General features: G+C 37.9%; 1 long non-coding RNA gene across 2 annotated transcripts in view; it reads left to right on the top strand.

Annotated features, from left to right (window-relative positions):
• NPSR1-AS1 (NPSR1 antisense RNA 1) overlaps nucleotides 1-27,719 on the top strand; it is a 487,820-nt gene that overhangs the window by 415,203 nt on the left and 44,898 nt on the right. For both annotated transcript variants that reach the window (NR_033665.1, NR_033664.1), the window contains one exon: nucleotides 1,457-1,550. This is a non-coding gene — a long non-coding RNA (NPSR1 antisense RNA 1). The remainder of the gene's footprint in view (nucleotides 1-1,456; nucleotides 1,551-27,719) is intronic.

Genomic DNA, 27,719 nt, shown 5'->3' with positions numbered 1-27,719 from the left:
TTGCCTAAAAACTAAAACTGGCTTTCCAAATTCAATTGTAGAGTGTGTTGCTTTTCTTTGTGTTAGACCAGAGACTTAAAACTAAAACTGTCTTACTAAGAGAAAGGGTGAAATGTGATAAAAAACTGCGTATTTGTTCCTACCTCACTCACTCACTCACGCATTCATTCATTCATTCATTCAAGTCACAGGATCATCTCCAATGTGCAGGGCCCTGGGTTAAATGCCAGGGATAGAAGGTAAGAAAAAGGAGCGTGTGGCTACGCTCATGGAGGGAGCCAGAAAATAAGCACTTACATAAATAAACAAAATTTTGTCAGCTTGTGATAAAAGCTACAAAGAAACTAAGCAGTGTGGGGTGATAGATACAGTGATCTACTTAGATACTGTGGCACAGGAGGACTTTCTGAGGAGGTGACGTTTGTCCTGGAGGAGGAGAAGGGGAGTTGTGAGCACCCTTTCTGGATATCTCATCAAATGATCTGAGGATCTCATTGGCCATCACAGACAGTAGATCATACATGACAAACATGGATATGTAAAGATATATCATAACCGTTTAACATCCTCACCACCAAAACAATAAGCTGGTGGGGTGGATGAATATATTAATTAGCCTGATTGAATCTTTTCTATAGTGTGTACATAGATCAAAACATTACATTGTACTTCATACATATACATAATTATTATATGATAGTTTTTAAAAATTAGTAAAAAAAAAAAAAGAGTCCATCTGGAATATGTAACAACCCCAAATACAGAAAGGACACTAGAAAGTGCACTCAGATGAAACAGAGTGCAGGATGTTAACTGGTAGCATTGGTTATTGATAAAGCAATCCAAGCTTTTAAAAAATGGTACTTGCTGGCAGAGACAGATAGGAGCAAAGGATGCCAGAGGGAAGCACTGATTCTCTGCACTTCCCCCTGACAACTCAGCAAGGCCACACAGCATGGCTCCTTCCAATTACAGTTAAGATAGCCAGTTAAAGGTTTGTAGCGGACTTTTGCTGTTTTTTGCAACTCTGTTTCCCCTCATTTTCATTTCAGTAATTGCACTCCTTTTACCTTTTAGGAAACCTTCTTTTCCCTGTGGTGTGCCAGATTGGTGAGGATGTGAATCACTGTGCCCTGCCTGACCTTTCCAAGCCAGGCTAAGGCTCTGATGTGGGGGTTTGAATCTTGAGCAGAATAATCTGAGATGAAAAGTCATAGCTGGAGTTGCTTCCTTCCAGCACCAGCACCGTGATGTGACTGTTACCAATTCCTGGTGCACGTAGCTAGAGAGTAGCCCTGGTTTCTACCTTGTTTCTGACCTAATCTTCATTGCAGGATTCCTGTCAGTACTATTAACCATTGAAATCCTGCCAATAAATTGCTCTTTTGTTTAAATTATTGGGAGTTGGCCTCTATTGCCTGCAACCAAAATCTCTCATTCTTATACTTCTCAACAGAGCAAACTGCTATGCATCCTTCAGCTGCAAGGGATTGAATGCTATCAACAACCATACAAGTGGAGAAGCAGATGCTTCCCTAGCTGAGCCTCAGGTAAGAACCCAGACCTGGCCAACACATTAATGGCAGCTTTGTGAAACCCTGAGTTGATCTCTCTAGGTCATGCCTGGACTTCTGATCCACAGAAAGAGTGAGATAATAAATGTGTGTTGTTTTGAGCTGTTGAGTTTGTGGTAATTTGTTATATAAACAGAGACAGAGGAACGAGTTAACAATACTATGATCATACAATGAACCAATTATGGAATGTAGAATTTTCCATGCTATAAATAACTTTGTATCTGCAAAATATCAATGGCTTCACAAAAGGAAACAAGGGCATCATTAAAAGAAAAAAGAGAGAGAAAGAGAGAATTAGAATTATAACCCAATGCATTGTGTCAAATTTGTATGGATGCTGATTCAAACAAACCAATTGTAAAAGAGATATTTTGAGAGAATTGGAGAATTTAAATATGTACTTTATGGAATTTAAATATTAAGTGATATAAAAGTAGTATTGCTTCTTTTATTAGGTATAATATGATATGGTAATTATGGTAAAAATAATCTCTATTACCAACACATACTGAAGTAATTCTGGGTACAATAATATGTAGAGATTTGCTTTAAAATGATTCAGAAAAATACAGTGATAATTGATGATGTTGGGTGATGAGTACCTGGGAGTTCATCATACTATCCTCTCTACTTTTCTGTATGGTTGGAAGTTTCCATTTCAAAAGTTAAAAAAATAAAACACAGGAACATTTCTTGAACAGTGTAACAGAGTAAATAAAATAAATGAAAGAAATCAAAAATGAAAGAATTATACCTGAAAGAAGACTGAGAGTAGACAATATATCCACTTAAATATGTATAGATGAGTGCAATTGTCTTATCGAAATTGATTGATCTTTTATATTTTTAAAGCAATGATCTATATCGTAAAATGAAGGAAGGAAAAGGAAAACGAAAAGAAAAAAGGAAGGAAGGAAGGATGCAGAGAGAAAGAAGAAAGAAAGGAGATCAATGACTGATATTTTAAAATTTCTTCTAAAATTTAAAAAGCAGAGATTCTTGAGGTTGAACACAGAGCCTATGTCTTCCATAAAATAAAAACAAAGGACAGTTACTTTATTATTGATTGTGAGCTCTATATTTAGCTATAGGTGTGTTTATATTTAAGTTAAAGTGTATATGTGTGTTATGTGTGTGTTTACATATAAATTTACAAGAGGTGAAACTAAATGGCCAATACCCTTTAATATTGTCAAGGCCATGAAAGGAAAGAAACACTGAGGAACTCTTCCAGACTAGAGAAGAAATGAAAACTAAATGAAATGTGGGATCCTAGACTGGATCCTGGAAAAGAGCAGTAGTGGGACAATACTAAGTTTTTACAATTGGAAAAATTTGAAAAAAGTCTGTAGATTAATGAATAGTAACATATCAAAGCTAACTTCCTGGTTTCGATAATTGTACTGTGATTATGAGAAATTTGTTATCATTTAGGTAAGCAGGGTGAAGGGTATATAGGAACTATTCATAATATTTTGGCAACTTTTGTAACCTAAATTGTATAAAAATGAAAACACAACAAAAAAAGAATTTGAAAATTTGAAAGATTGGTTTAAAGAGAGACAAGAGAATAATATTAAAAAAGATTTACCAATGAACAAATCCAAATGGCCAAATGTAGGGTACTGAAATTCAACACACAACACCGATTAAGATAGTATTGGCTTAGAAAAATAAAATACTTCAGCGTGAATTTTTTGTTTTGTTTTCGTTTCTGTTTTGAGATGGAGTCTCACTCTATCTCCCAGACTGGAGTGCAGTGGTGCAATCTTAGCTCACTGCAATCTCTGCCTCCCCGGTTCAAGAGATTCTCCTGCCTCGGCTTCCCAAGTAGCTGAGATTACAGGTGCCCACCACCATGCCCAGCTAATTTTTGCATTTTTAGTACAGACGGAGTTTCACCATGTTGGCCAGCTGGTCGCGAACTCCCGACCTTTAGTGATCTGCCCATCTTGGCCTCCTAAAGTGCTGGGATTACAGGCGTGAGCCACTGCACCCGGCCAACTTAGGTGTAAATTTAATAAAATATGTGCAAGGCTTATACTCTAAAAACCACCAAATGTTGATGAAATAAATATAAATGTATGTAAATAAATGAGGAGATGAAAATGCCCATGAATTGGAAGATTTGATGGAGTGAAGATGTCAATTGCCCCCAAAATGATGTACATATTTCCTATGCAAATCTCAACAAAAGTTTGTTTAAGTATAGACAAGATTATTATAAAATGTATGTGAAAAGGCAAAGGAACATGTATAGCTAAAATAATTTTTGAAAAGGGAGAAAAAAGTAGGAGAAATTAGTCTATCCAATTTCAAGATGTATTATATTAATATAACTATAGTAACTACAGTAACCAACGCTGTATGCTGTGGGCAAAGGGATAGACACATAGGACAATGGAGCACAACACAGAACTCAGAAATTGATCCACACAAATATTTCCAACTGATTTTTTACAAAGGTGCAAAGGCAATTCAATGGAGGAAGGATAACTTTTTAAACAAATAATGCTGGAGCAATTGGACAACCATAAGTGAAAAAATTGAACTTCGACCTAAACTTCACACCTTGTGCAAAAAATTAACTCAAATGGATCATAGATCTAAATGGAAAATGTAAAACAATACAAATTTATTTAAAACAGGTAACATTTTCAGGATTTAGTGCTAGGCAGACTTTTTAGATTTGACACCAAAGGTACGACCCATAAGAGGTGAAATTGATAAACTGGATTTCATCAACATTAAAATCTTTTGCTCAGTAAAAGGCCCTGTTAAGTAGATGAAAAGACAAGCTACAGGGTGGGAGGAAATATTTGCAAACCATATATATGTTAAAGAAATAGTATCTAGAATTCTAAAAAACTCAACAGTTAAAAAACAGAAAAGGAGCATAAGACCCGAAGGGACATTTCACTGAAGAGGATATGCAAACGACGATAAGCACAAGAAAAGATGTTCCATGTCATTAGCCATTTAGGGCAATTCACACTAAAATTATAAGAGATAGCACTAAACATTTATCAGACTGGCTAAAATAAAAAATAATGACAACAACAAATGCTGGCAAGGAGAAATTAGATCACTTGTACATTGCTGATGAGAGTTTCAAATGGTACAACTACTCCTGAAAATAGTTTTGCAGTTTCTTAATAAACTAAATATGTAACTACCATACAACCCAGCAATTGCATTCTGGGGCATTTATTCTCCAAAAATAAAAATGTACATTCTTGCAAAAATCTGTACACAAATACTCATAACAGCTTTATTCTTTTTTGTTTGTTTTTGAGACGGAGTCTTGCTCTGTCTGGAGTGCAGTGGTGTGATCTCGGTTCACTGCAAGCTCCGCCTCCCAGTTTCATGCCATTGTCCTGCCTCAGCCTCCCGAGTAGCTGGGACTACAGGCGCCCGCCACCCACACCTGGCTAATTTTTTTTTTTTTTTTGTATTTTTAGTAGAGACGTGGTTTCACCATGTTAGCCAGGATGGTCTCGATCTTCTGACCTTGCGATCTGCCCGCCTCGGCCTCCCATAGTGCTGGGATTACAGACGTGAGACTCTGCATCCAGCCAACAGCTTTATTCTTAACAGCCAAAAACCATAAGCAACTCAGATGTCCTTTGGTAGGCAAATGTTTACCAAACTGTGGTGCCTCCCTACCAAGAAACACAACTCAGCAATAAAAAGCAACAAATTATCAACAAGCACAATTACTTGGAAGAATCTCTAGAGAGTTATGCTGAGTAAAAAGGACCAACCTCGAGAAGTTGCATACTCATTTATATAACATTCTTGAAATGAAAAAATTATTGAAATGGGGAACAGAGTAGTGGTTGCCAAGGTTTAAGGAGGGAGAAGTGGGAGGGAAGTAGGTGTGACTACAAATGGACAGCACGAGGAACATTTTCTGTGATGGAGTGTTCTGAATCTTGACTGCATTAATGTCAACATCTGGGTTGTAATGTTGTACTATAGTTTTGCAATATGTTGCCATTGGTGGAAACTGGGTTAACAGTACCTGTGATTTGTCTGTATTATTTCTTACAACTGCATGTGAATCTACAATTATCTCAAAATTAAAAGTTTAATTAAAAATGGCAACAAAATTACTGTGCACACATTCCCAATGCATCACTTGCGCTCCCAGGTATATACTAAAGAGAAGTGAATGGTAATATCCAACATGAAAAACATACAAGGATGTTCATAACACCTTTATTCATAAGAGCACCAAAATGGAAGCCCTCAATGCCCATCAACAGAAGACACGAGAAACAAATTGTGACATTTCCTAACAATGTGATATTATACAGCAATGAAAAAGAACAAACTACTGCTAAATGTGCCAAAATAAATTAATATCCCTAAGATAATGGTGAATTGTAAGTGCCAAACACAACTGAGTACATACTACATGAGTCCACTTTAGAAAAGCTCAAGAACAGGCAAACTGATTGTAGAAAGAAGTCAGAACACTGGTTACTGCTAGAAAGAGAGCTATTGATTGGGAAGAGGCACAAAGCCTATATCTTCACCTGAGTAGTGGTGAAACATGTGTATATAAACATAAAAATGTTTTTATGTTTAATATCTTTGCCTTTGTTTATGTTGAATATCTTTGCCTTTCATGCATTTAAACTAATTAAAAGAAAAATACCAAATCTTTAAGAATAAAATGAAACAGATCAAAAATACTGTGCTAGCCAAATAACAAACTTTGACAGCCTGTAGCCTAACTCTGTAACCTGCAGTCTAGAAAAACTTTTCAACTCAGTTTAGAAATATCACAAAATAGGAGAATCAGTTGGATATCAGAAATTAAATTAGAAACATGGCCATCAAGCTTCCATCCAGCTGTACATCTCGGGGAAGCATGAAACCAGCACCTCAGTGAACAGCTGTTGGGGCTAAGAACAATTACCGTCTCTGCAGTAAGCTCTACCATGAAATAAATAATGGCACCTATGGAGAAACAACAAAACAAAAATAAAAACAGAGCACTAAAAGGAAAAGCAGAATTCATTCATGCTAAAGACTTAAGAGAAAGTCTCTGAATGTGATTCCTTTTTTTTTTTTTTAACTTTTGTTTTAAGTTCAGGGGTACAAGTGCAGATTTGTTACATAGGTCAACTTGCGTCATGGGAATTGGTTGTATGGATTATTTCATCACCGAGGTATTAAGCCTAGTACCCACGAGTTGTCTTCCTGATCCTCTCCCTCCTCCCACCCTCCACCCTCCACCCTCCAAAAGGCCCCAGCATGTGTTGTTTCCCTCTGTATGTCCATGTGTTCTCATCATTTACATGATTCTTTACTTGAACTAGAATGGAAAAAAAAACAAAAAAGCTTCCTGAATAGCATCAGAAAACCTTGACTTCTGTGAAAGAACAGAACGTCTAAAGAAAGACAACAAAGTTAAAAAGCAGTGAAAAACATTGAAAAAAAATCAAGCTGGATCCTGTAAGAAATTAATCCCAGAAAAGTAAATATGTAAGAGGAAGCCATAAATACATCATTAGCACTGATAGAGTATAAATGATGCTAAGGTCACTGCAATCATTGATACAGAAGACAATTTTAACTGCTCTCCCAGAATTCAGAGAAAGGACAAAGCAAATGAAATGGTAAGACAAAAAAATGGAGGACAAAAGAAACAAAAGCAACAGCAACCAACAAAAAGTATGGACTCAATGTATAATTATAGTTTGTATTAAGGAAGAAACCAGGGCATTGTAAAGAAGCAACAAACACGTAATTGCAGAGAGTACATCAAGAAAAATAAATGAACCAAAAAAGTCCAATTCTGTTTTATGCAGACAGAAAGTATTATACTTGTACCAGACAGAATTGAGAAACATAGATGCACACCTAAATATATACTCACAGAATATTTGAATAAGATGGATTTGTTTAAAAAAAATAAAACTCTTTTTCTTAAGAACTGCCAGAAAGAAATTATAGGCTATCTAAAAAGGAAGCCAATTCCACTAGAAGACAAGGCTGCAACAGCTGCAGGATTCTGAAGGGAAAAGGTTGTGTCTCAAGAATTTTATGCATAGCTAAGTTTCTTTCCATATGTGAAGACAACAGAATGATATTATTAGATATATGAGGGCTTACCTTGAAAAAACTATTCTTGGAGACATATCTTCACTGACAAAAAAAAAAAAAAAAATTAATGAAAACCCAACACAAGGATCTTGCTGGAATGGTAGAAGCCAGCACCTATCCTGAGGGGTGGTCAAGAGACCCACTCCCAATGTACCAGTAAAGTCTGAGAAGATAAATCACCCTAAAGTCCCAGAACCAATTGAATTGGCTGTGTCTATTCCACTCAAAATTGGTGAGGATACATACCCCCTGGCCTAGTGATAGACTTTTATTTTTTTCTTGAGATGGGGTCTTGCTCTGTTGCCCCAACTGGAGTGCATCACATAGCTCACTGTATCCCACCTCAGCACCCACTTCAAGTAGCTGGGACTACAGGCCAGCACCACCATGCCTGGCTACTTTTTTGTGGGTTTTTTTTTCTTTTGTAGAGATGGGTCTTGCTGTGTTGCACAGGCTGGTCTGAAACTCCTGGCCTCAAGTCACCCTCCTGCCTAAGCTTCCCAAAGTGCTGAGACTACAAATATGTGCCACCATGCCTGGCTAAGGCTTTAAAATAGACAGTTTCATTATGAATTATTATTTCTCATTATCATAATAATTCTATGGTTGAACAAAAAATAGCCCTTAAATTAAGCCTTTTCCTCAGATCCAGAGGTTAATTAAGTATGATTATAAATGTACCCAAAGCAGAATCTAATCCTATACACAGGAATGAAATTTAGTAAAATGTTAATCTAGTTATGATTACTTCACAGAAACAAAATAACATTGCTTTACAAATATTACATATTTATTGTAGAAAAATCAAGGAATATAGATAAGAATAATAATCTAACCAGAACTCCAACTCTCAAAGATTATAACAGTTTCAGCTTGAAAGTATTCTTCCAGATTTTTGCCTCTGTAGGTCTGTATGTAAATATTCAGAAAAAAAAAATTTTTTTTTTTTGAGACAAGAGTTTTGCTCTTGTTGCCCAGGCTGGAGTGCGATCATGCAGTCTTGGCTCACTGCAACCTCCGCCTCCCGGGTTCAAGTGATTCTCCTGCCTCAGCCTCCCGAGTAGCTGGATTACAGGCATGCACCACCACGTCCAGCTAATTTTTGTATTTTTAGTAGACACGGGGTTTCTTCATGTTTGTCAGGCTGATCTCGAACTCCCGACCTCAGGTGATCTGCCCACCTTGGCCTCCTAAAGTGCTGGGATTACAGGCGTGAGCTACCACGCCTGGCCAGAAATAAATGTTTTAAAACATAGGCTTATACATATAGGCATACATACATACACATATAAAAACTGCATTTGTCCCTAACAATACAATTTAAACAACCTTATGTATCAATACATACACTTCTGTAACATTATCTTTGCAACATAGTATTACATTGGGCAGTGGTAACATAATTGCTAAGTTAAAATCTAAGTTGTTTTTTTTTCCAATTTACACTACTATAAATAATGCCATAATAAATAACCTTACAACCCTGTGCATATCTCTGAAATAGACCCTAGTATACATTAATAAGAACTTAATCATATGGTAAAGAAAGATCATAAATCACTGAAGAAGCAAATTTTTATGAGACAAATATGTGGAAAAATAACTACTTGGGGGAAAAAGCCTCTGAAGATTCTTGCTGTATTCTATAGACCACTAATACTTCAGATCCTTTAAAAGATTATAAGTGAAAGAGAGAGAGAAAATCGGCAGAAAATCTCACCAAATAGTGACCTAATCTCTGGGCAGGAAATGCTTTCTCACACATGTAAAAAATAAAAAATATCACAAAAATTACCCATTAATTTGACATCTGACAGTAATTTGACAAATAAGTTTAAAAGTCTGATGTGTTAAATTATTAGCATAATTTTACAAGGAAACAATAAGCAGAGTAACTGGTTGTGGTGGCCTACATCTGTAATCCCAGCACTTAGGGAGGCCGAGATGAATGGATCACTTGAACCTAGGAGTTAGAGACCAGCCTGGGCAACATGGCGAGACCTCTATCTCTACAAAAAAATACAAACATGAGCGGGCGTGATGGTGGTGCACCTGCAGTTCTAGCTACTTCGGAGGCTGAAGTGGGAGGATGGCTTGAGCCTGAGAAGTGGAGGTTGCAATCAGCCAAGATTATACCACTGTATTCCATCCTGGGCGACAGAGCCAGACCTTGTTTCAAAAAAAAGAAAAAGAAAGAAAAAGATAAGCAGAAAGAGTACTATTTGTGATATCTGGCTAATCCTCTTTATGTATAAAGGAGATTTACAAATCAACAGAAAGACAGACATTTCCAGATTTCCCATAGAATAATGGTGGTGGCTTAATATTCTTTTTAAGAGATGGGATCTCACTAAGTTGCCCAGGTTGTGGCTACCACAGGCATGATCATAATGCACTACAGCCTCTAGACTCCAGGGCTCAAGTGGCCCTGCTGCCTCAATGCATACAGTGGTGTTCACATGCAGTCCCAGCACAAATAGCTGAAACTACATGCACACACTACTGTACCTGACTAGTGGCTGCTTAAATATCTTTTCTCACATTTAAATAAAAAGAAAGAACAAGAAGAAGAAGAAGCCAATATTGAGAACAAATAATCATGCAGAGTCCATTTCTACAGCATGGCTACAAGACAGAGACTACTAAAGATTTCAGTTGACATGAAGTTGGAAAATAAACACCTGAAAGCAGCAGAGGCCACTCTAGAGCCTAACCTGAGTTGAACAAATACAATATTCAACCAGGGATCCGCAGAAGAAGACAGCCATACCTGTGTAGGACAACTTTGCAAACAGCTTTGACATCTGGTGGCTCTGAGCCCAGGCTAAATGAAGCAAAATGTTGGCAATTATTGAATCTAGGCAATGGGTATATAGTTGATCATTATATTTTCTTTCAGTTTTTCTCTATGTTGGAAATTTTTCCAACATAGGCAGGTGGATCACAAGGTCAGGAGTTCAAGATCAGCCTGGCCAATATGGTGAAATCTCATCTCTACTAAAAATACAAAAATTTGCCGGATGTGGTGGCATGTACCTGTAGTCCCAGCTATTCAGGAGGCTGAGGCAGAAGAATCACTCAAACCCAGGAGGCAGAGGTTGCAGCGAGCCAAGATTGCACCACTGTACTCCAGCCTGGGCAGCACAGTGAGACTCCGTCTCAAAATAAAAAAGAAAAATACAACTAGGTCATTTAAAATAAATGTTCAATCTTTACGTGTATCAAGGAAATGCAGGTTAAAACATGATGGGGTTTTTTTTGCCAGCAGTTATTGTATTTATGAATGCAATAATAATACTCAGGTGTAGAGAGGCTGGCCCTCTTAGGTGAGTGAGGTTAGGAATGCAAATGAGTCAAATCTTGCTGAAAAGCAATTTAACAAATTGGGAAAACCTCACTGAAAATAAATTTAGAACAATATTTCCAAAAAAGTATTTAAATTCATAACTATTGATTACATAATTTCACCCCAGGTTAAAGTTATAATCATAGATTTGAAGGAAGACTGTGTAAAAAATTCATCCTTATTTATAATAAATTTGTAAACATTCCAGATGTTCAAGGGTAAGATAATTATTTTTAAATTATGATATTTTCCATATGGTAGTTTCCATATGGTTTTTGGAAATCAAAGGCATATTTTCAAATGGTTTTGATGACATGAGAAAATGCTATTGCTTAAGTGTTGAATGAAAAAGAGCAAACTAGAAGATTATGTATAAAATACACATTACAATCTCTATATATGGTCTTAACGTGGTTATCTAAACATGACGGATTTGCAGATAAATTTTATATATTTTTCTGTATATATAAAAATGCTTTATTATAATCATACATTATCATTATAAATGAAAACTAAAGTTAATACATCTCTCTTAATTTGCATAATCCTGCTTAATTTGTTATAGTAAACTTCATGTGGGCATCATTCTAGAATCATTTTACATTAATCTTTTTGTTCTATTATCAATTCCCCAATTAAAGAATCTCAACAGGCATTGTTAAAAAGATATATTTATGCAAGAGAACCCAATTGGCAGCTTCCAGAAGATCCTCTGCCCATATGAGCAGCCTGGATGATCAAAGGCTCCTAGCCCGTGACACTCTAACAGCTGCTGCTTCTCCAAGTGAATATGATTCTGTGTGTAACGAACATCAGGTTCCCGCTAATCAAGGATTTTTTTGAAAACCTTGCTTGACAGAGAGAACTACATTCGCCCCTCCAACAGCCCCATCTCAAGAGCCACAAAAGTCTTAACTAATTCCAGCACCAACCCAAAAGTCTTAACTAATTCCAGCACCAACCCAAAAGTCTTAACTAATTCCAGCACTAACCCTGGGGAAAGGGAGGAGGTAACAGAAGCGGAAACAGGGAAATTCCCAAAGATACCCTGAGGTTCCAGCTCTTCAGACAGGCTAATGAGGAGGAATAATAAGTGAGGACTGTGAACAATTAAATAACAGATTGCTTCTAACAACCATTTGCTCCAAACTAATCACATTTTCTTTCAATTTCTTTTTTGGCTCTAATTTACTAATGCTAATCCTTAAAAATACAACTCTTGTCTCCAGTGTTAAGAAATAGTTAAACCGATGTGGCTGCCTCTTGGTTCCAAGCTGGAGTAGGTACACTACAGGGAAGAATCCTAGTCTGAGGTTCTGTGCAGTGGTGAAGTCAGTGGAGCAGGGCGGGCTGGAGAAGAGGGGTGTGGGGCACTGATCTCCCAGTACCCCATTAGAACCAAGGAAAAGGCCAGGTGCAGTGGCTCACACCTGTAATCCCAGCAATTTGGGAGGACAAGGTGGGCAGATCACAAGGTCAGGAGTTCAAGACCAGCCTGACCAACATGGTGAAACCCCATCTCTACTAAAAATACAAAAGAAAAAAAAAAAGTAGCCAGGCGTGGTGGTGTGCACCTGTAATCCCAGCTACTCAGGAGGCTGAGGCAGGAGAATTGCTTGAACCAGGGAGGTGGAGGTTGCAGTGAGCCAAGATCATGCCACTGCACTCCAGCCTGGGTGACAGAGTGAGACTCTGTCTCAAAAAACAAAAACAAAAACAAACAAGGAAAACAGGAACTGCAGTTCCAAATAAACTTTGCCTGCATAAGATAAACGTACAATTCTTTTCCTCCTCCTCATCACCCTCCTTCTTCCTTAAAAATCTATTTTGCATGGCTCTTTTGTTTCACAGAGGCACCCTGCTACTGGCAATAGTTACCAAGAAACATGAGGTTCCTGGGTAAAAATAATTATTTCAGGTCCGCTGTTGGTGAGCTGTTGGTTGCTACTTAGGAGCAATTATAGCATAAATCTCATTTTGAACCTCTTTTGGCAAGTAATATCCATGAAAGCTATGCTTCTAATGGAGGAAATTCCTTTACCTTCCTTAACTGAAATTAACTTTGAACGCCAAAAAGTTCAAATGGAGATTTTCTCAAAGTTGATGACAAGCTAACCTACGTTATCCAATCTCCCCCACCCTTAAGCCAGGTTTTCTGAACACGGCTCTTCATTTTCCTGATGTGTAGACCCACAGGGTTTACTTAAATATATAAGGTTCTATACACCACGGTCATAAGCTGCTCTGATTTCTGAGTTCCTGACTTTTGTAGATTTTCTTCCCGCTTTGTGTTCAATTTCTCTGTAAATATGCCTCTGCCTTCAGTGTATCTGCCTCTAAAGGCAGTTTCCTTATCTCTACCTACCTTTCAGCTATCAATCAGAGCGAGAAAGGACCTTAGAGATTCTCTAGTCCTGTGTCCCATTTTCCTCCCATCTAAAGGGGCACTGTAAGCATAGCATTTGTCTTAGATATCCAGGGGATCTGAATTCTGTCTTTGGTAAGCCACCCTGCCCCATGAGGTCTCTGTGAGTAATAGATGGAAATCAAGCCCAGTGCCTTTTGTTTTCACCCATTGCAACTTTAGCCCAAAGAAGTAGTCTTTTCCTGACCAATAGCATGCGCAGCCATGCGAGGTAAAGTTGTCGCCTTAACTCTTCCCCATGCCCACCCAGCAAGTAGGAGGAATACTGGTCTCAAAAGCCAGGCTCCAGGATACATTGCCGGTTTTGTTTCTAGTGGCTGGAATCACTGGGCACCAGAAGGTCAGAGGGAGTTCATTCTTTCTTTTCCCTTCTACACCCAGGTTGCCCACGTAGGAATCAGACCTGATACCCACGACTTCAGATACCCCAGGGCCATTTCCCTCCTGTGCTCTCTTCTCTGACATTCCTGCCCCACTATGGACTTCTGCGGTGCTGAGGTCCAGGCAAGCACAGGACTTTCTCCTGCTCTGTCTCTTTCTACATCCATCTCCTCCGGGACTGTTTTGGGAGTGCAGGCGGAGGGGCATTTTCAAATGAAAAGAAGGAAGACAGCCTTAAATCTCTAGACTTAGCCACACAGTCCAGTCTCAATCTACCAGAGTCAAACATCATTGTTTAGGTTTTTAAGCACAGCTAACAGGCAGCTACTTAGTGTTTTTTGGGGTTTTTTGTTTGTTTTTTGGTTTTTTCCCCTGGTTTCTTTTCTGGGTCTTGTGCCACATGGATCTCACCTATTTTCAATGGTGGGATTGTGGTACCATTTCATAATTCTGCTATCCTATCATGATGTCCAACATTGGAAGTGGTTATCTAAAATCCTTAACAAGAGGTAGGGTTTTAGCAGCTCTAGTGGATATATTCAGGAGATGGAGGAGGAAGTCTCCTACACAGGAAAAGTCACCAGTGTTTAGAACTAGAAGGACAACACCTCATGTATGGCACTCAGGACCCTGGTATTTGCAGATAGAATGTTTTATTTTGAGAATAAGGACAGCTTGGTCAAAATTTTGAATGACAAATTTCATGGACAACAAGTTTCTATAAGAGAAGGAAATTCTCACATTAAAATGATCAGAAATGTAGTACGTGGAATTTTTAACCTTTGGACTTTTATTGCTGGACACTGTTAGGCAGTGCTAAGTTAACAGCCCTGCATAGAGTTCTCCTTTCTGTCCGGATCCAGGAAGGAATCCATTAAATTTGTCCCCAGCCTCTCTCAGTCAGCAGCATCCTGGGCTGGCACGTTAGCACTGACCTGTTCATTAGATAGGTCCACACAGGGTTCAAGCCACACAGTCATGATCTCCTCAATGGCAAAGTAACGCTAATATAACTATTGGGAATCATGTTATTGAGTGTGCTCACTTGTCAAATGCAGGGGTCAGCAAACTTTCTGTAAAAGGTCAGATAATAAAAATTTTAAGCTTTGTGATCCAGACGAACTACTCAGCTCTGCAGTTGGCAAGAAAGCAACCATCAATGATGTGTAAATGAGTGGCATGGCTAGATTTGACCCAGGGCCTCAGGCTGTGGCTTTCCCCTGACCCATGTCTAATTAGAGTTGCTGCCGTTACAATGACAGTGCAAACTAGTGTGTCATTCTCTCTTCTTTCTCTTTAAATAAAGCAGAAAAGTGAATTATCAATCTTTCCCAATTTTCCTTCCACATGACTCAAAAGGTAAGACAGAAAGCCCACGTCCACATAGAATGGACCTCTTTGGTCCATTTGCTCGTTTATTGATTCAGTACTTCTGCGTTGCAAGCATCTTGCAGCACTCTTTTAGGTCCTGGGGATACAGTGATCAGCAAAACAGGTGTCCCTTGCAGAGTTTGTGTTATAGAAGAGGCCAACATTAAACCAGCAATTCCACAAATCTCTGAATAATTTTAAGTCACCATTTCTGTATGTGACTGGAAAGAGAAGAATGAGGAGATATGACAAAGTGTTCAAGGGTCACATAATCCATGCTACAGTCATGGAAGGCATTCTGGATAGTGGCATTTACATATGAGAAGATTATGCTCAGAATTGCAAGTTTAAAATACATTATTTCTATAATCAATAATACTATAAATGCAATTTTATTCTCTTCCATTTTCTCATTTTATTTAGAAATAGATGAGGCTGCCAGAGGGATTTTGACAAGGTAAAGACATTACCCAAATTTAATTATGGTTTCAAATATGTGATATAGACAAGTTCTTAATATTAATCACATCAATCTCAGATTCCGTCAAGCTATCAGAAATCAACAGCTTTTAGAATAGGTTGTAATAATGTTTGAACTATATTCCAAATCATTATGGCCACAATAATCCATTTCATTTAATAACAGAATCTTTGAGGACATAACATCAGCTTAATGATTCTAAGCATTCTGCTCTTCCATTTCTTCATTCATAGTAAGGACATTTCTAAGTATAAAGACACACACACACACACACACGCACAGGCACACACACACAATAAGTTTTAGTATTTGGTACATTAAAATATAAACTCTATATTAAAAAAGACATAAAATTATTAAAGACAAGCAAAACTGGAAAAAGGTGTAGGCTAGGAGAGGCAATATCTTCACTATATAAGAGCTGATGCAAATTAGTAAAACGTTTAGAAGCATCCCAACAGATGGTTGGAAAAAGAGATAAGGAGTAATCTATCTGACACGTATTATGTATTTGATAAATATTTTTGAGTGGATAAGTGAAAAAATAATTGACAAAATAAGAATTAAAAATGATCAGTAAAATATGGAAAAAGTTTCAATCTAACCAGATATTTAAGAAATACAAAGCAACAAAATGCAATTTTTCATCTGGTGACAAAAGTTAAAAATTATGATAATCCCTACTGTATATGTTGCTAGTGCCCAAGAATATTTGAACCCCTTTTACAATGGTTGTATCAAAAGTTCCAAAAATTGGCAAACTCTTTTACCCAACAATTACAAATGAAGGGATTTGGGTCCGATTTTAAGGGAAAAATGGATGTGTATTTTAAAATACATTTATAAGCATTTTCGACATAGTATTATTTATAAGAGTGAAAAAGTAAAGCAACCTACACTTTCATCAATAAATAAGTGGTGAAATAGTCTATTGGAATCCACAAAATGAAATATTATGCAGCCATTTAAAATTATGATCTTCAAGATTATTATCAATACTGAAAATGTTCAAGATAGTTTATCAAGTGAAAAGGCTGTTTATAAAACAATGTATAATATGTCCATATATATTCATATTCATTTATACACAATTAAAAATATGAGAAAACATTTGGCAAAATGTTAACAGAATTTATCTCTTGTTAACATTATCTTTACTCTCAAACAGAGAGTTTGAGCAACAGCTTGTCTGGAAAGCAAACAGCTTATCTGGAAACTCCACAGTTTTTATCATGAATATGTATTGTATTGATAACAAAGAAGAATTAATTTAATGGTTTTGTTTCCAAAAAGTTAAAAGCAACATTGGTAAGCTTCATTCGGTGCCCATTAGGAATATTCTGCGAGCAGACAACAATGGCCTTGCATTGGAAACTGTGAAGCAGCTCTTTCAAAGCAAAGCCTGTGAGTGGAAATCTGGACATAACAGGCAGCCTGGCAGGTGCTGAAATGCATCCAGTGCCAGCTCCTCTGGCTGTTTTAGGGATCCTGGGGTTCATGGCTCTGTGTAGAAGAATGAAAAGCATGGCAACATTTGGCACTTGAGCAGCTTCATGATGGAATAACTCTGTGAGAATAAAAAATAAGGAGGAAGCTTTGTCCTTTTCACTTAGAAAGGGAGAGCTATTCTTTACAGCACCATGGGGATTGAAATAGCAGCAATGAATGTCCTTAATAATGTGCACAAAGATATCACTGGAAATGGTGGATCTTGGTGAAAGCATCAAGACTAGAGACGTGACAGCAGCAGAAGCTTCTTGTAGAATCTTGTTTAGAGGGACAACCCCAAGCTCCTGACAGAGAGAGGTGAACAACGGATATAATAAGCATGCCTAGGACTCTTTTTTGGGGGGAGGGGCCCCCCTTTTGGGAGGCAGCAGTGGGAGAAATCAGCAGTTGGACTTTGCCACTTGCTCCAGCTTGTCCTTCTTCTTGATGGCATAGAAGTTGGAGAAGCCCTTGGCAAAGATATTGAGCTGATCTGCCAGACGTGGAATGGGGAATCTGTAAATAACTGCAAGGTAATATGGTTTGGCTGTGTCCCCACCCAAATCTCATCTTGAATTGTAACTCCCACAATTCCCACATGTCATGAGAGGGACCCAGTGGGAAGAAATTGAATCATGGGGGCAGGTCTTTCCCATGCTATTCTCGTGATAGTCAATAAGTCTTATGAGATCTGATGGTTTTCTAAAGAGGAGTTTCCCAGCACAAGTTCTTTCTTTTTGCCTGCTGCCATCCATGTAAGATGTGACTTTGCTCCTTCTTGCCTTCTGCCATGATTGTGAGGCCTCCCCAGCCGAGTGGAACTGTGAGTCAATTAAACCTTTTTTCTTTCTAAATTACCCAGTCTTGGGTATGTCTTTATCAGCCACATGAAAACAAACTAATACACAAGGTTAAGTAGATGTTTGGGAGGATTAAGAACATCATATTTTACACTTTGGGAGGCCAAGGCAGGTAGATCACTTGAAGCCAGGAGTTCGAGACCTGCCTGGCCAACATGATGAAACCCCATCTCTACTAAGAACACAAAAATTATCTGGGCATGGTGATGGGAGCCTGTAATCCCAGCTACTTGGGAGGCTAAGGCAGGAGAATTGCTTGAACCTGGAAGGTGGAGACGGCAGTGAGCCGAGGCTGTACTCTAGGCGGGGTGTCTCAAAAAAAAAAAAAAAAAAAAAAGACATCATATTTTAGATTGTGAATACATGTTATTTAAACTCAGGTTGATGAAGCAAGACTCATACCAGTTACACTAAAGAGATCAGTGGTCTCAACTTATCTCTCCAACTGAGTCTTAAATTTTTACAATTAAATGTATGTTGCTAGAACTAAAAATTACCCCAGTTTGTGTCTTAGTTATTTCCTTCAAATTGTAACTATAAAAACATTGGAATTTAGAAAATAGGAGCAGTTTATGCGGGAAAGTTGTCATGGATTAAAGATGGTCACAAATTATTTGGCATTCTTCTAAACAAATGGCAAAGCCTGTTTAACCACACTCCCTGAATCAGGCCAGCCTGTAACTTCTTTGACAAACACTGTGCAGCCAAACTAATGCTAGGGCACTTCTAGGCCTAGTTCCTGAGAAAAGGCTAACAACTTCCTCCTAAGTCTTTGGGAGTCTCAAGAAGCCATGTAAGAAATCCAGCCACCCTACTGGAGATACCTTATAGAGGGCCCTGAAACTACCTGGGATGGGGGCAAATTTGAGCTCAGCATTCAGGCTGTTCACTGAGACATCAGTTATGTGAGTGATGTCTCTTGACGCCTCCAGACCAGACCAGGTGCAAGCTGACTACCACTAAATCAACCTAGTCATTGCCATGTGAAACAGAAAAATTGCCCAATAGAGCCCTGCCCAAATTCTGGATCCCTGAAATTGTGAGCTATAATAACAAAAAGAGTTGTTGTTTTAAGCCATTAAGCTTTGGGGTTTGTCATATAACGATAGATAACTAGAACAATGTTATAAGCTTCATCTTCCACAGGGTTGTGCCCAAGAACCTCCTTTTGCCCCACATCTTGCTGGAGCTTTTCTGTTTGTGCTCTTTGTGTAGATTCCCCTAAGAGGATATAGGCTTTATTTTCTGGAGAGTGCCATAGGTGTGTCACCAGGAAGTACAGGAACAGCTCCATGAGTGGTAGAGAAGGAAGTCCCCTTAGCAGGACTTTATATCCCTTCTCCCCTTAGAAATCCATGGGGATCCACTTCACTCTGCACTCACCCCTTTCATACAGGATGTTCTCATCTTGGTTTCTCATTGAGTGGCCCCTCAGTGCCTGTATCAGAGGACTGCCTTAGCTAATTAGAGAAGATGATTCTATCTGATGGGACTGAATGGCTGAGTCTGAAAACCCCCCAAACTTTCGGATTATTTTCTGTGCTTATTATGTGACTTTTTGTTCTGTTGAAAATAGCTAACTTTTATGTAGGTCATTTTCTTAGTTGTAAAATGAAAATAATAACATCTACCTTTCAAGTATCTCAGGATTATTGTGAAAGTCAAGGGAGATGAGGTGGGTGGAAGCTCATTGTAAGCTATAAAATGTTATGTACTTGTAATTTGTTATTATTATTATCATTACTGTTAAGGAATTAGTAAATTATAGATAGTGTTGGAACATGTGGGCTTAGCATTGTGTGATCTTAGGCAATTCACTTAACATCTCAGCAATTTTCTCATCCCTAAGAGTGTTTACTAAATAAATATCTATAAGGTTCCATCCAGCTCTCAAATAATATGGCTGTGATTTTTAAGAACCTATTTTAGCACAGGCAAGGTAGTGCATGCAGTGTGTTCAAAGACGAATGTAACTTCATCCCTGCTGACTTGGAATTTATAATGTAATTGTTAATATAACTCATACTTTAAAAACCAAATAATTCAAATCAATCTTTTAAACACGGATTCCCTGGGAGGAAATTTTCCAGATACAGAAGCATAATATGCTGGATGTCTTCTGTCTGCCCCTGCAGACCCACTCTGTAACCACTCTCAGCCTTGGTAGGCTGACGTGTGTGAACTGCATTACTGTGCTCTCTGGCCTCATGGCATCTCACTGGGTTCTGCCAGCTGAAAGACCCAGCAATAGATGAAGAGAGAGAGAAGAAGAAGGTAAGGGTATTTATTCTCCTAGCTCCTCCTCTTCGGGGTCATCTCGGAATACCTGTTCCCTTGACCAAAGGATGTCTCTCAAGACTGTCATCCTCACATAGATCTAATCATCCAGGTTCTGGAAACTTCTCTCACCCCTTCCTCCTTTGCCCTAGGGATGAAAACAACTCAGCAGCAATGAACCCTAGAATACTTCACCACCCCTTTTGGGGTAGGCAGCCTCTGTAATGGACTGAATGTTTGTGTCCTCTCAAAATGTATATGTTGAAATCCTAATCCTCAATGTGATGGCACTAGGAGGTAGGCTTTGGAAGGTAATTAGGCCAAGACAATGCAGTGCATAAAGGGATTGGTGCCCTTATAAAAGAGACCCAAGAAAGCCCCTTCACCTTTTCCACCATGTGAGGACACAGAGAGAAGATGGACATCTATGAACCAAAAAGTGAGGCCTTGCCACATACCAAATCTTCTGGAGGCTTGATTTTGGATTTCCTAGCCTTCAGAACTGTAAGACATAAATGTTTGTTGTTGTTTAAATCCCCAGTCTATGATAGTTTTGTTATAGCAGCCTGGACAACTAAGGTAGCCTCTAAGATGGCCCCCAATGATTCCTGCTTTGCAGTAGTCACACTGTTGTGTGATTCTCTCCTCTTGAATGTGAGTGGAATTTATTAACTCACTTCTAACAAATGAATAAAGAACATGAGCTAGGATGTCACTTCTGAGATAAGTTTATAAAAAGGCTTTGACTCCTGCCCTGGCCACTCTCTCTTGGATCACTTGCCTTGGAGGAAGCCAGCTGCTATGACCTAGAACAGCCCTGTGGAGAAACCTTTACCTCATGGGATCAAGACTTATTCACACCAATGTGAATGAGCTTGGAAGCCACTTCTTTATCCCCAGTCAGGTCTTTCAGTGAGACTGCATCCCTGGAGGATAGCTTGACTTCAATCTTGTATGAGACTTTGAGCCAGAGACAACTAGCTAAACTGTGCCGGAATACCTGCCTGAAAGAAACCATGAGGTAACAAATGTTTGTTGTTTTAAGCTACTAAGTTTTAGGGTAATTTGTTATACAGCAATAAATAACTAAAATACTTTGTGATTTTTTTGACATACTTGCTATACTTTGTAAATCATCCTTTTATTAAGTATGCTGGGATTATGCATAAAACAATATTTCTGGGCATATAAGAGAAATGAAATACTCTTCTCAGGTTCATTTCCTCTGAAGACATGAGAAGAATAGATAACGGTTAAATATAGAAATTTCCCTGAGTCTTTGAAGACCCTAAGTTCCTTGAAATAATTTGGATTTATTTTCTAAGTATGGTAGATGGGAAGGATTTAAAAGATCTTTTTAAGGAATTTAAAATCTTTTTAAGGACTTAAAAGAGAAATAGCTCCTTAGCATTGAGATAAAAAACAAAGGTCGTAGAGTTTTTTTTCCAAGAACATCCTGAAGCACTTAAGTACATTACATCTAAGGTGACAGACTTTAAACTAAAGTGGCCATGGGGTAAATGGTTGGTGGGATTCTTCAAAGAATGGGCACTTAGTGCCCCAGGCTTGGGAGCCTAGACAAGAAGAAAGAGAATCTCTTTCATGGAACTTCACCCTCCTTTATGGGACCTCATGAGCCTTGGTAGTTGAGATATCACTAGGGCTAAAGTAGTCGAGAGACAACGGAAAGTCAAAGAGGACCTATGACATTATATGGTGGTGACAGCAGCAGCAGAAAATGACCCTACTTGTTTCTGTGAGACTACCAATGGTCTCCCCTGATCCCCCAACCCTCCACAGATACTTTAACCTGCAAAAAGGTTTTGTTTGTTTTTGTGACAATCCAGGGAACGTAGAAGTGGGGATCATGGCAACTCTTACTTAGATTTTGGAAAGTTTTTTTAAAAGTGACATTCAACATAAATGACGTCATTCACCTGACCTCACCCAAGTCAGCAGGGATCTCTGATAAGGCCCCTCTTGGTCCAAATCCTCCCAGGTTTGGTTGAAGATTCAGACAGTATTTGAGCCACACACATTTTTAACTTGATGGGATTGGTATTAAAGCTCTACTGTGAGACAGGAATTTCATTTGTTATTCTCTAGAGAGCCTGCTAATTGCACATTTGTGGTTTTCATTTTTCTTTGAGGATCAGATTTTGTTTGAAATGACTCATTAGAGTTTTTACAACCTTTTCCCTCATTCAAAATTTTGGTTATGGAGAAAAAAGTTTATCTCTGAAAAGAGGATGTGAATCTTTGTGATGTAAGCAAAAGAAAAAATAATCTTTAAAGCTGGTATGTGGCCTCATGCTCCTCTCTAGTGTTTGTGACCTACATGGTGGATATCTCCTCTCCAAGGACAAGATTGGATAGAGTATTATAAATATATTAGTTTTTCTACAATAGTCATCAGTGCTTAGCACTTGTAGGACTAAAGATGATGTACATCACTGACCTATTCATAATACTTCACAAAGCAAAAGGCATGAGGTGAGCTTTTTGGTAAAAGAAACCAGTTTGTTAGCCTTTTCACTGGTGTTAACACAACCGAGAGTTAGGACAACTGAATTCTGTGATAGTATAACAAATTTGGGATGGTTTAATATGGCTTTTCCCCTCTTTTGGTCACTTAGCTCACCCCTTTATGTTGGGAACAAAAAATATCACACCAACGATACATGGCCCAGTAACACTAGTGATGTGGGATAGATACTCAAAGAACAGTGTATCCACAACATTATATGACAAAGTACTGGTTGGCGTGCCACTGAATGGGTACCATGACTATCTATTAGTTATCTCTAAACGAAACATCTTGGCTGTGCACGATCAATCTACAGGCTTAGCTACCCCCAAGATGGTTAGGATGGTGTCTTTGAGGCTATTCCTGGATACCAGGCTAAGTTCGTACCCTTTCAAAACCTGCAAATCTTCCTCATTTACAATCTTGTTGGAATTTTTCTGTATTCTATTGACGTGATCATTTAGCTTCTGTCTTTCTCCTGCAACTGGTTACTGAGGATTTCATTTGGTGTGTAGAGGCCGTAACCAATTATATAAAAAAGGCCCTAAATAATAGTCTTATGGGTATCTCGTTACGAAACAATGAAGAAAGGCTCTAATACAGAACAGTGTGGCTTTAGACATACTCACTGCAGCCCAAGAGGGAACATGCACAATGATAAAAACTGAGTGTTGTGCCTGTATCCCAGATGAATCAGATAACATCACTAAAGTAATGGCTGATATAAAAACCCGAATAACTAAACTTTTAGATACAACAGTCTCTCCAAGTGATTGGGTAAGTAGCTGGTTTTGATACTGAGAAAACTGGTGGAAAAAGCTTTTACTTATTCTAGGAATTATAATCATTTGTTGTGTTTTGTCCTCTTTTTGTCTTCACTGCTGCTGTGGCATTTGTTCACAATGGAGTCAATATACAACTAAAGAAACTAAAATAATGGTTACTCAAATAAATTGCATTAATTAAAGATGTAGTCTGGTAGCCTGTCTCAGGTTACAAAGTCACTTTCCTCATGCTGCTTTAAATTTGTCCTATGCCCTATCAACTTTATAGCTTGATAAATTCCTCCTGCCATAAGACACGACACTCCGTGAATGAGCCTTTCTAGCAATGTAGGACTAAGTTCTTGAACATAAAAAGAGCCTGTAAAGGCCAAAAGAAATCTTTTCTTTTTTCTCTCTGAAGGTTCACTGAAAAACTCAACTCACAAAAGGCAGATTAATTAGAGAAAAGGCATACAAATTTATTATTAATGCGCACATTGGCAAGAATTAGAGTGATTACCCGTTCTTCAAGGAATACAGAAACTTACATATCATGATTGAAGTGACAGAAAGGGCTCAGAGCATGGCCCAAAACAGATTATGGTGGTAAATCAGATTACAGTGGCAAGACAGGTTATGGGAGGGAGAGAAGAGGAAGCTTGGCTAGCAAAGATGGTCTTGTTATGTAAATGAAATCTCACTGGTAACAGATCTCAAAAAGAATACGTGGCAAATGTTTCTTTCAGATCTTTAAGTGTGTCAGGCTCTCAGTTAATCTTTTCTAGATCAGACAAGGGAAGGCCTTCAAAGAAGTCCTCACTGCATCAATGCAGATTTTGTCTACAAACGAAAATCTTGCCCACAAAAGACAGCATTACAGGACTACTGTCTGCAGGCCCTCTGGTCAGCCATCTCAAAATATTTCAAAGAAATATATTTTGGGGTAAAATATTTTTATTTCCTTCAAGCCAAAACTGTTTGAGTTTATCCATGATGCTGTCTTTGAAAGATCTCAATTGAAAGAGGGAAATGTGAAATTAAATAATGCAAACTTAAAGTAAATTAAACCTAAAGCTGCTGGAACATTAAATATCCTGAGCCTCGTGGCATGCAACTGCAAACTTCTACACTTTTTTCTCCTGTTTCTAGAAATAACTAATACCTAAGATGCCAGAGATAAGACCCCCTCAGATCACTACCTCTCCTCATGAAATAATAAAGCAATATTCCTTGGAATGTATCAATCTATAGTCATTCAGATTGCTGTGGTGTGTATACCTGGTATAGTATAAAAATGTTTAATACTGCTGGAACTTCTCTGTTTCTGCCTATATGATTGAAACTTTAACCTCTTCACTTTGGAAAAACTGACCTATTCATTTGGAGTCAGTGCTTCTCCTAAAGCTTCATGCTTGAATAAGCTCTATACTTAATTGTATTTTATTAATTTTATTAAGATTGACATCCTTGCACCTTGAATTGTGTAGAATAGCCGATACTTGTTATAGTTAAAATAAGTGTGATTAATGTAAAAAGTTAAATAGAATAAGGAAACTCCCAGGTACCTTGTACCCAGTTAGGTGTATCACTTTGGCTAAATAAATGACTATTATTTTATAGTGATCTGTGATTCTATTTTGAGCATGTGTTTTAAATCTTTTATATTTGACCAAATTTCCAAAATCGAAATTCCAAATTCCTATTTTGTTTTTGCATTTTACTCAAAAGGTAAACAAAAATCTTTACTATCTCTTGTTAATACAACACAAAAATGTAGTTCAAAGGAGAAAAACCAAATTTTACCTTTACATTAGTATATTGTTAATACTAAAGCTAATTTGAATAAAGCCTTTTAAACAAATCTATCCCATCCCAATCAGTTTTGACCAGAAGGTAAGATTTCCATAAACCTTTTATAATGTTTTACAATTCTTCCCATTCTCTTTCTTTACCAACTTTCTATATCCATTTAGTTCTATCTAGCATTTACAAATATTTTCCATTTAAATCAACTTTTATAAACTTCTAAACTGGGCAAAAATTACTTTTCCTTGAACAAAAACCGTATTCCCTTGCCTTCTTATAACCCCATCACCAAAAACACATTCTACTTTCCTTGTACACCTTGCATATAGAATTTTTTGACATCTAGTAGTTTTAATCACATACATTAATCACAATGCTAAATCTTAGTAACTAATTTTTAGTGAAAAACCTAGGAAGTAAGCAATTTTAAGTATGTACCAGATGTAGAGCTCAGGACAAAGGACAGAGCTGTGAAGACAATGCCTGGAGGATCTAATTCCTCTCAGCATGCCAAGAGACACAGCTAGACTAGGGAGGATGGGGCCCAGATATCCCCAGGTCTCACCATGGCCACTTATCTAGACCTCAAAATCTAAAGGCTCAAATCCAAAGACATTAGCTCACAGAGAAATTAAGCAAGTATCAAAAATAATAGAGAAGCAATGTTTATGACCTTAAAACATCTGTCAGAGACAGTTTAACCCCATCTGACCTATAGACCCAGGCAAAAATGTCTCAATTAACTTCTGAAGATGTTTCTATTTTATTTTATCAATAATTTTATAATGAGGTTTATCAAAGATAAATAAAGGCATATGTATGTGAAAAGCACTGGGGCTAGTTAATTTATTATGAGTACTCATTTAATCTTTAAGTTAATTTGGTACCATTTGTAGACTATATATAAATATATGTGTAGACATATACATATATGCAGACACAACACATAATGTACACATATATGCAGACACAACATATAATGTACACCATATATACATGTACACATAAAATACAGACAGACAAAAAACCTCATAGTTTTGATTTTAGAATTTTAGATATGAGACTGGTAAGACTCATTAGTTTAAAAGGACAGTTGGATTCAAACTCTGCCTTTGTAAATGGAACAAGTTAAAGGTTATTTGTCTCACATGGCCCGAGCTCTTACTGAGTTTTAGAGAAAGCAGGGTAGCAATTTACATCTCAAAACACAGAAGAAGAGAATTCAAGCATTTTCAAGAGGAGTTTGGGTGCGTTAGAGGAAGATTAAAAGTGGATGCCATGGTAAAACAAAATTATAGAAATTTACCATGGGATTTTATAAGGAGACCAATTTCATTTAAATAAGTAGCTTTTAATTTAGTTTCTGTTTTCCAATTAGGCCACTGAGCTCAGGGAAGAGCCTATTAAGGAACAAGGCCAACAAAGTACTTGGAGGTTTTAGGGCCCAATAATTTAAATATGTAAAAAGCAGGTGCAGTTGGAAGGCAGAGCATTTAGACCTTTAAAATAAAAGATTTCACTGATTCCCAGGTCCCCCAAAAGAGGGAAATGCCAGGGGACCAGGCCACTCAATGCTTTCAGAGTGTACTTTGTTTTGTAGGTATTTCCCTAAGTGTTTAAATCATGTCCTTTCTTATCTAAGCACACAAATGAGTAGCCTCTAGTAATATTAACCATTTATTGCAAACAACTGCTGTCAGCCACCTCTAACCCTGTAGTTCTCAGTCAGCCATTATACCTAAGGTCAAATTCTCTCACAATACAAAGTAATGTTTGGTATCCCTCAAAGCCAAAGAGATCAGGTAATGTGATACAAAAGAGGGTAGAGTTTTAGACCTAAAAGGAATCTGTGCATTTACAAGTTTTGTGGTTCCACGAGAAAAAACAGAAATTTTTCCCCAAAAAAGAGGAGCTTATGGCATTTTTTCTGTTTTCCTTGAGGGACCCTAGGCTGTAAGAAATTTCCTTTGTAGGTCCCTTCATGTGGCATGAGGGTGGCAAGAGAAAGGAGACACAGACAGAAGTAAATGGGAGAATGACTGTTAAAAAAAACAAGTGAACAGGCCAGGCGCGGTGGCTCACGCCTGTAATCCCAACACTTTAGGAGGCCGAGGCGGGTGGATCACCTGAGGTTAGGAGTTTGAGACCAACCTGGCCAACATGGTTAAATCCTGTCTCTTCTGAAAATACAAAAACTAGCTGGGCATGATGGTGTGTGCCTGTAATCCCAGCTACTCGGGAGGGTGAGGCAGGAGAATTGCTTAAACCCGGGAGGTGGAGGTTGCAGTGCACCAAGATC

The sequence above is a fragment of the Homo sapiens genome, chromosome 7 (genome assembly GCF_000001405.40).
Source record: "Homo sapiens chromosome 7, GRCh38.p14 Primary Assembly".
Taxonomy (NCBI): domain Eukaryota; kingdom Metazoa; phylum Chordata; class Mammalia; order Primates; family Hominidae; genus Homo; species Homo sapiens.
This window is presented reverse-complemented; position numbering and strand designations above follow the sequence as displayed.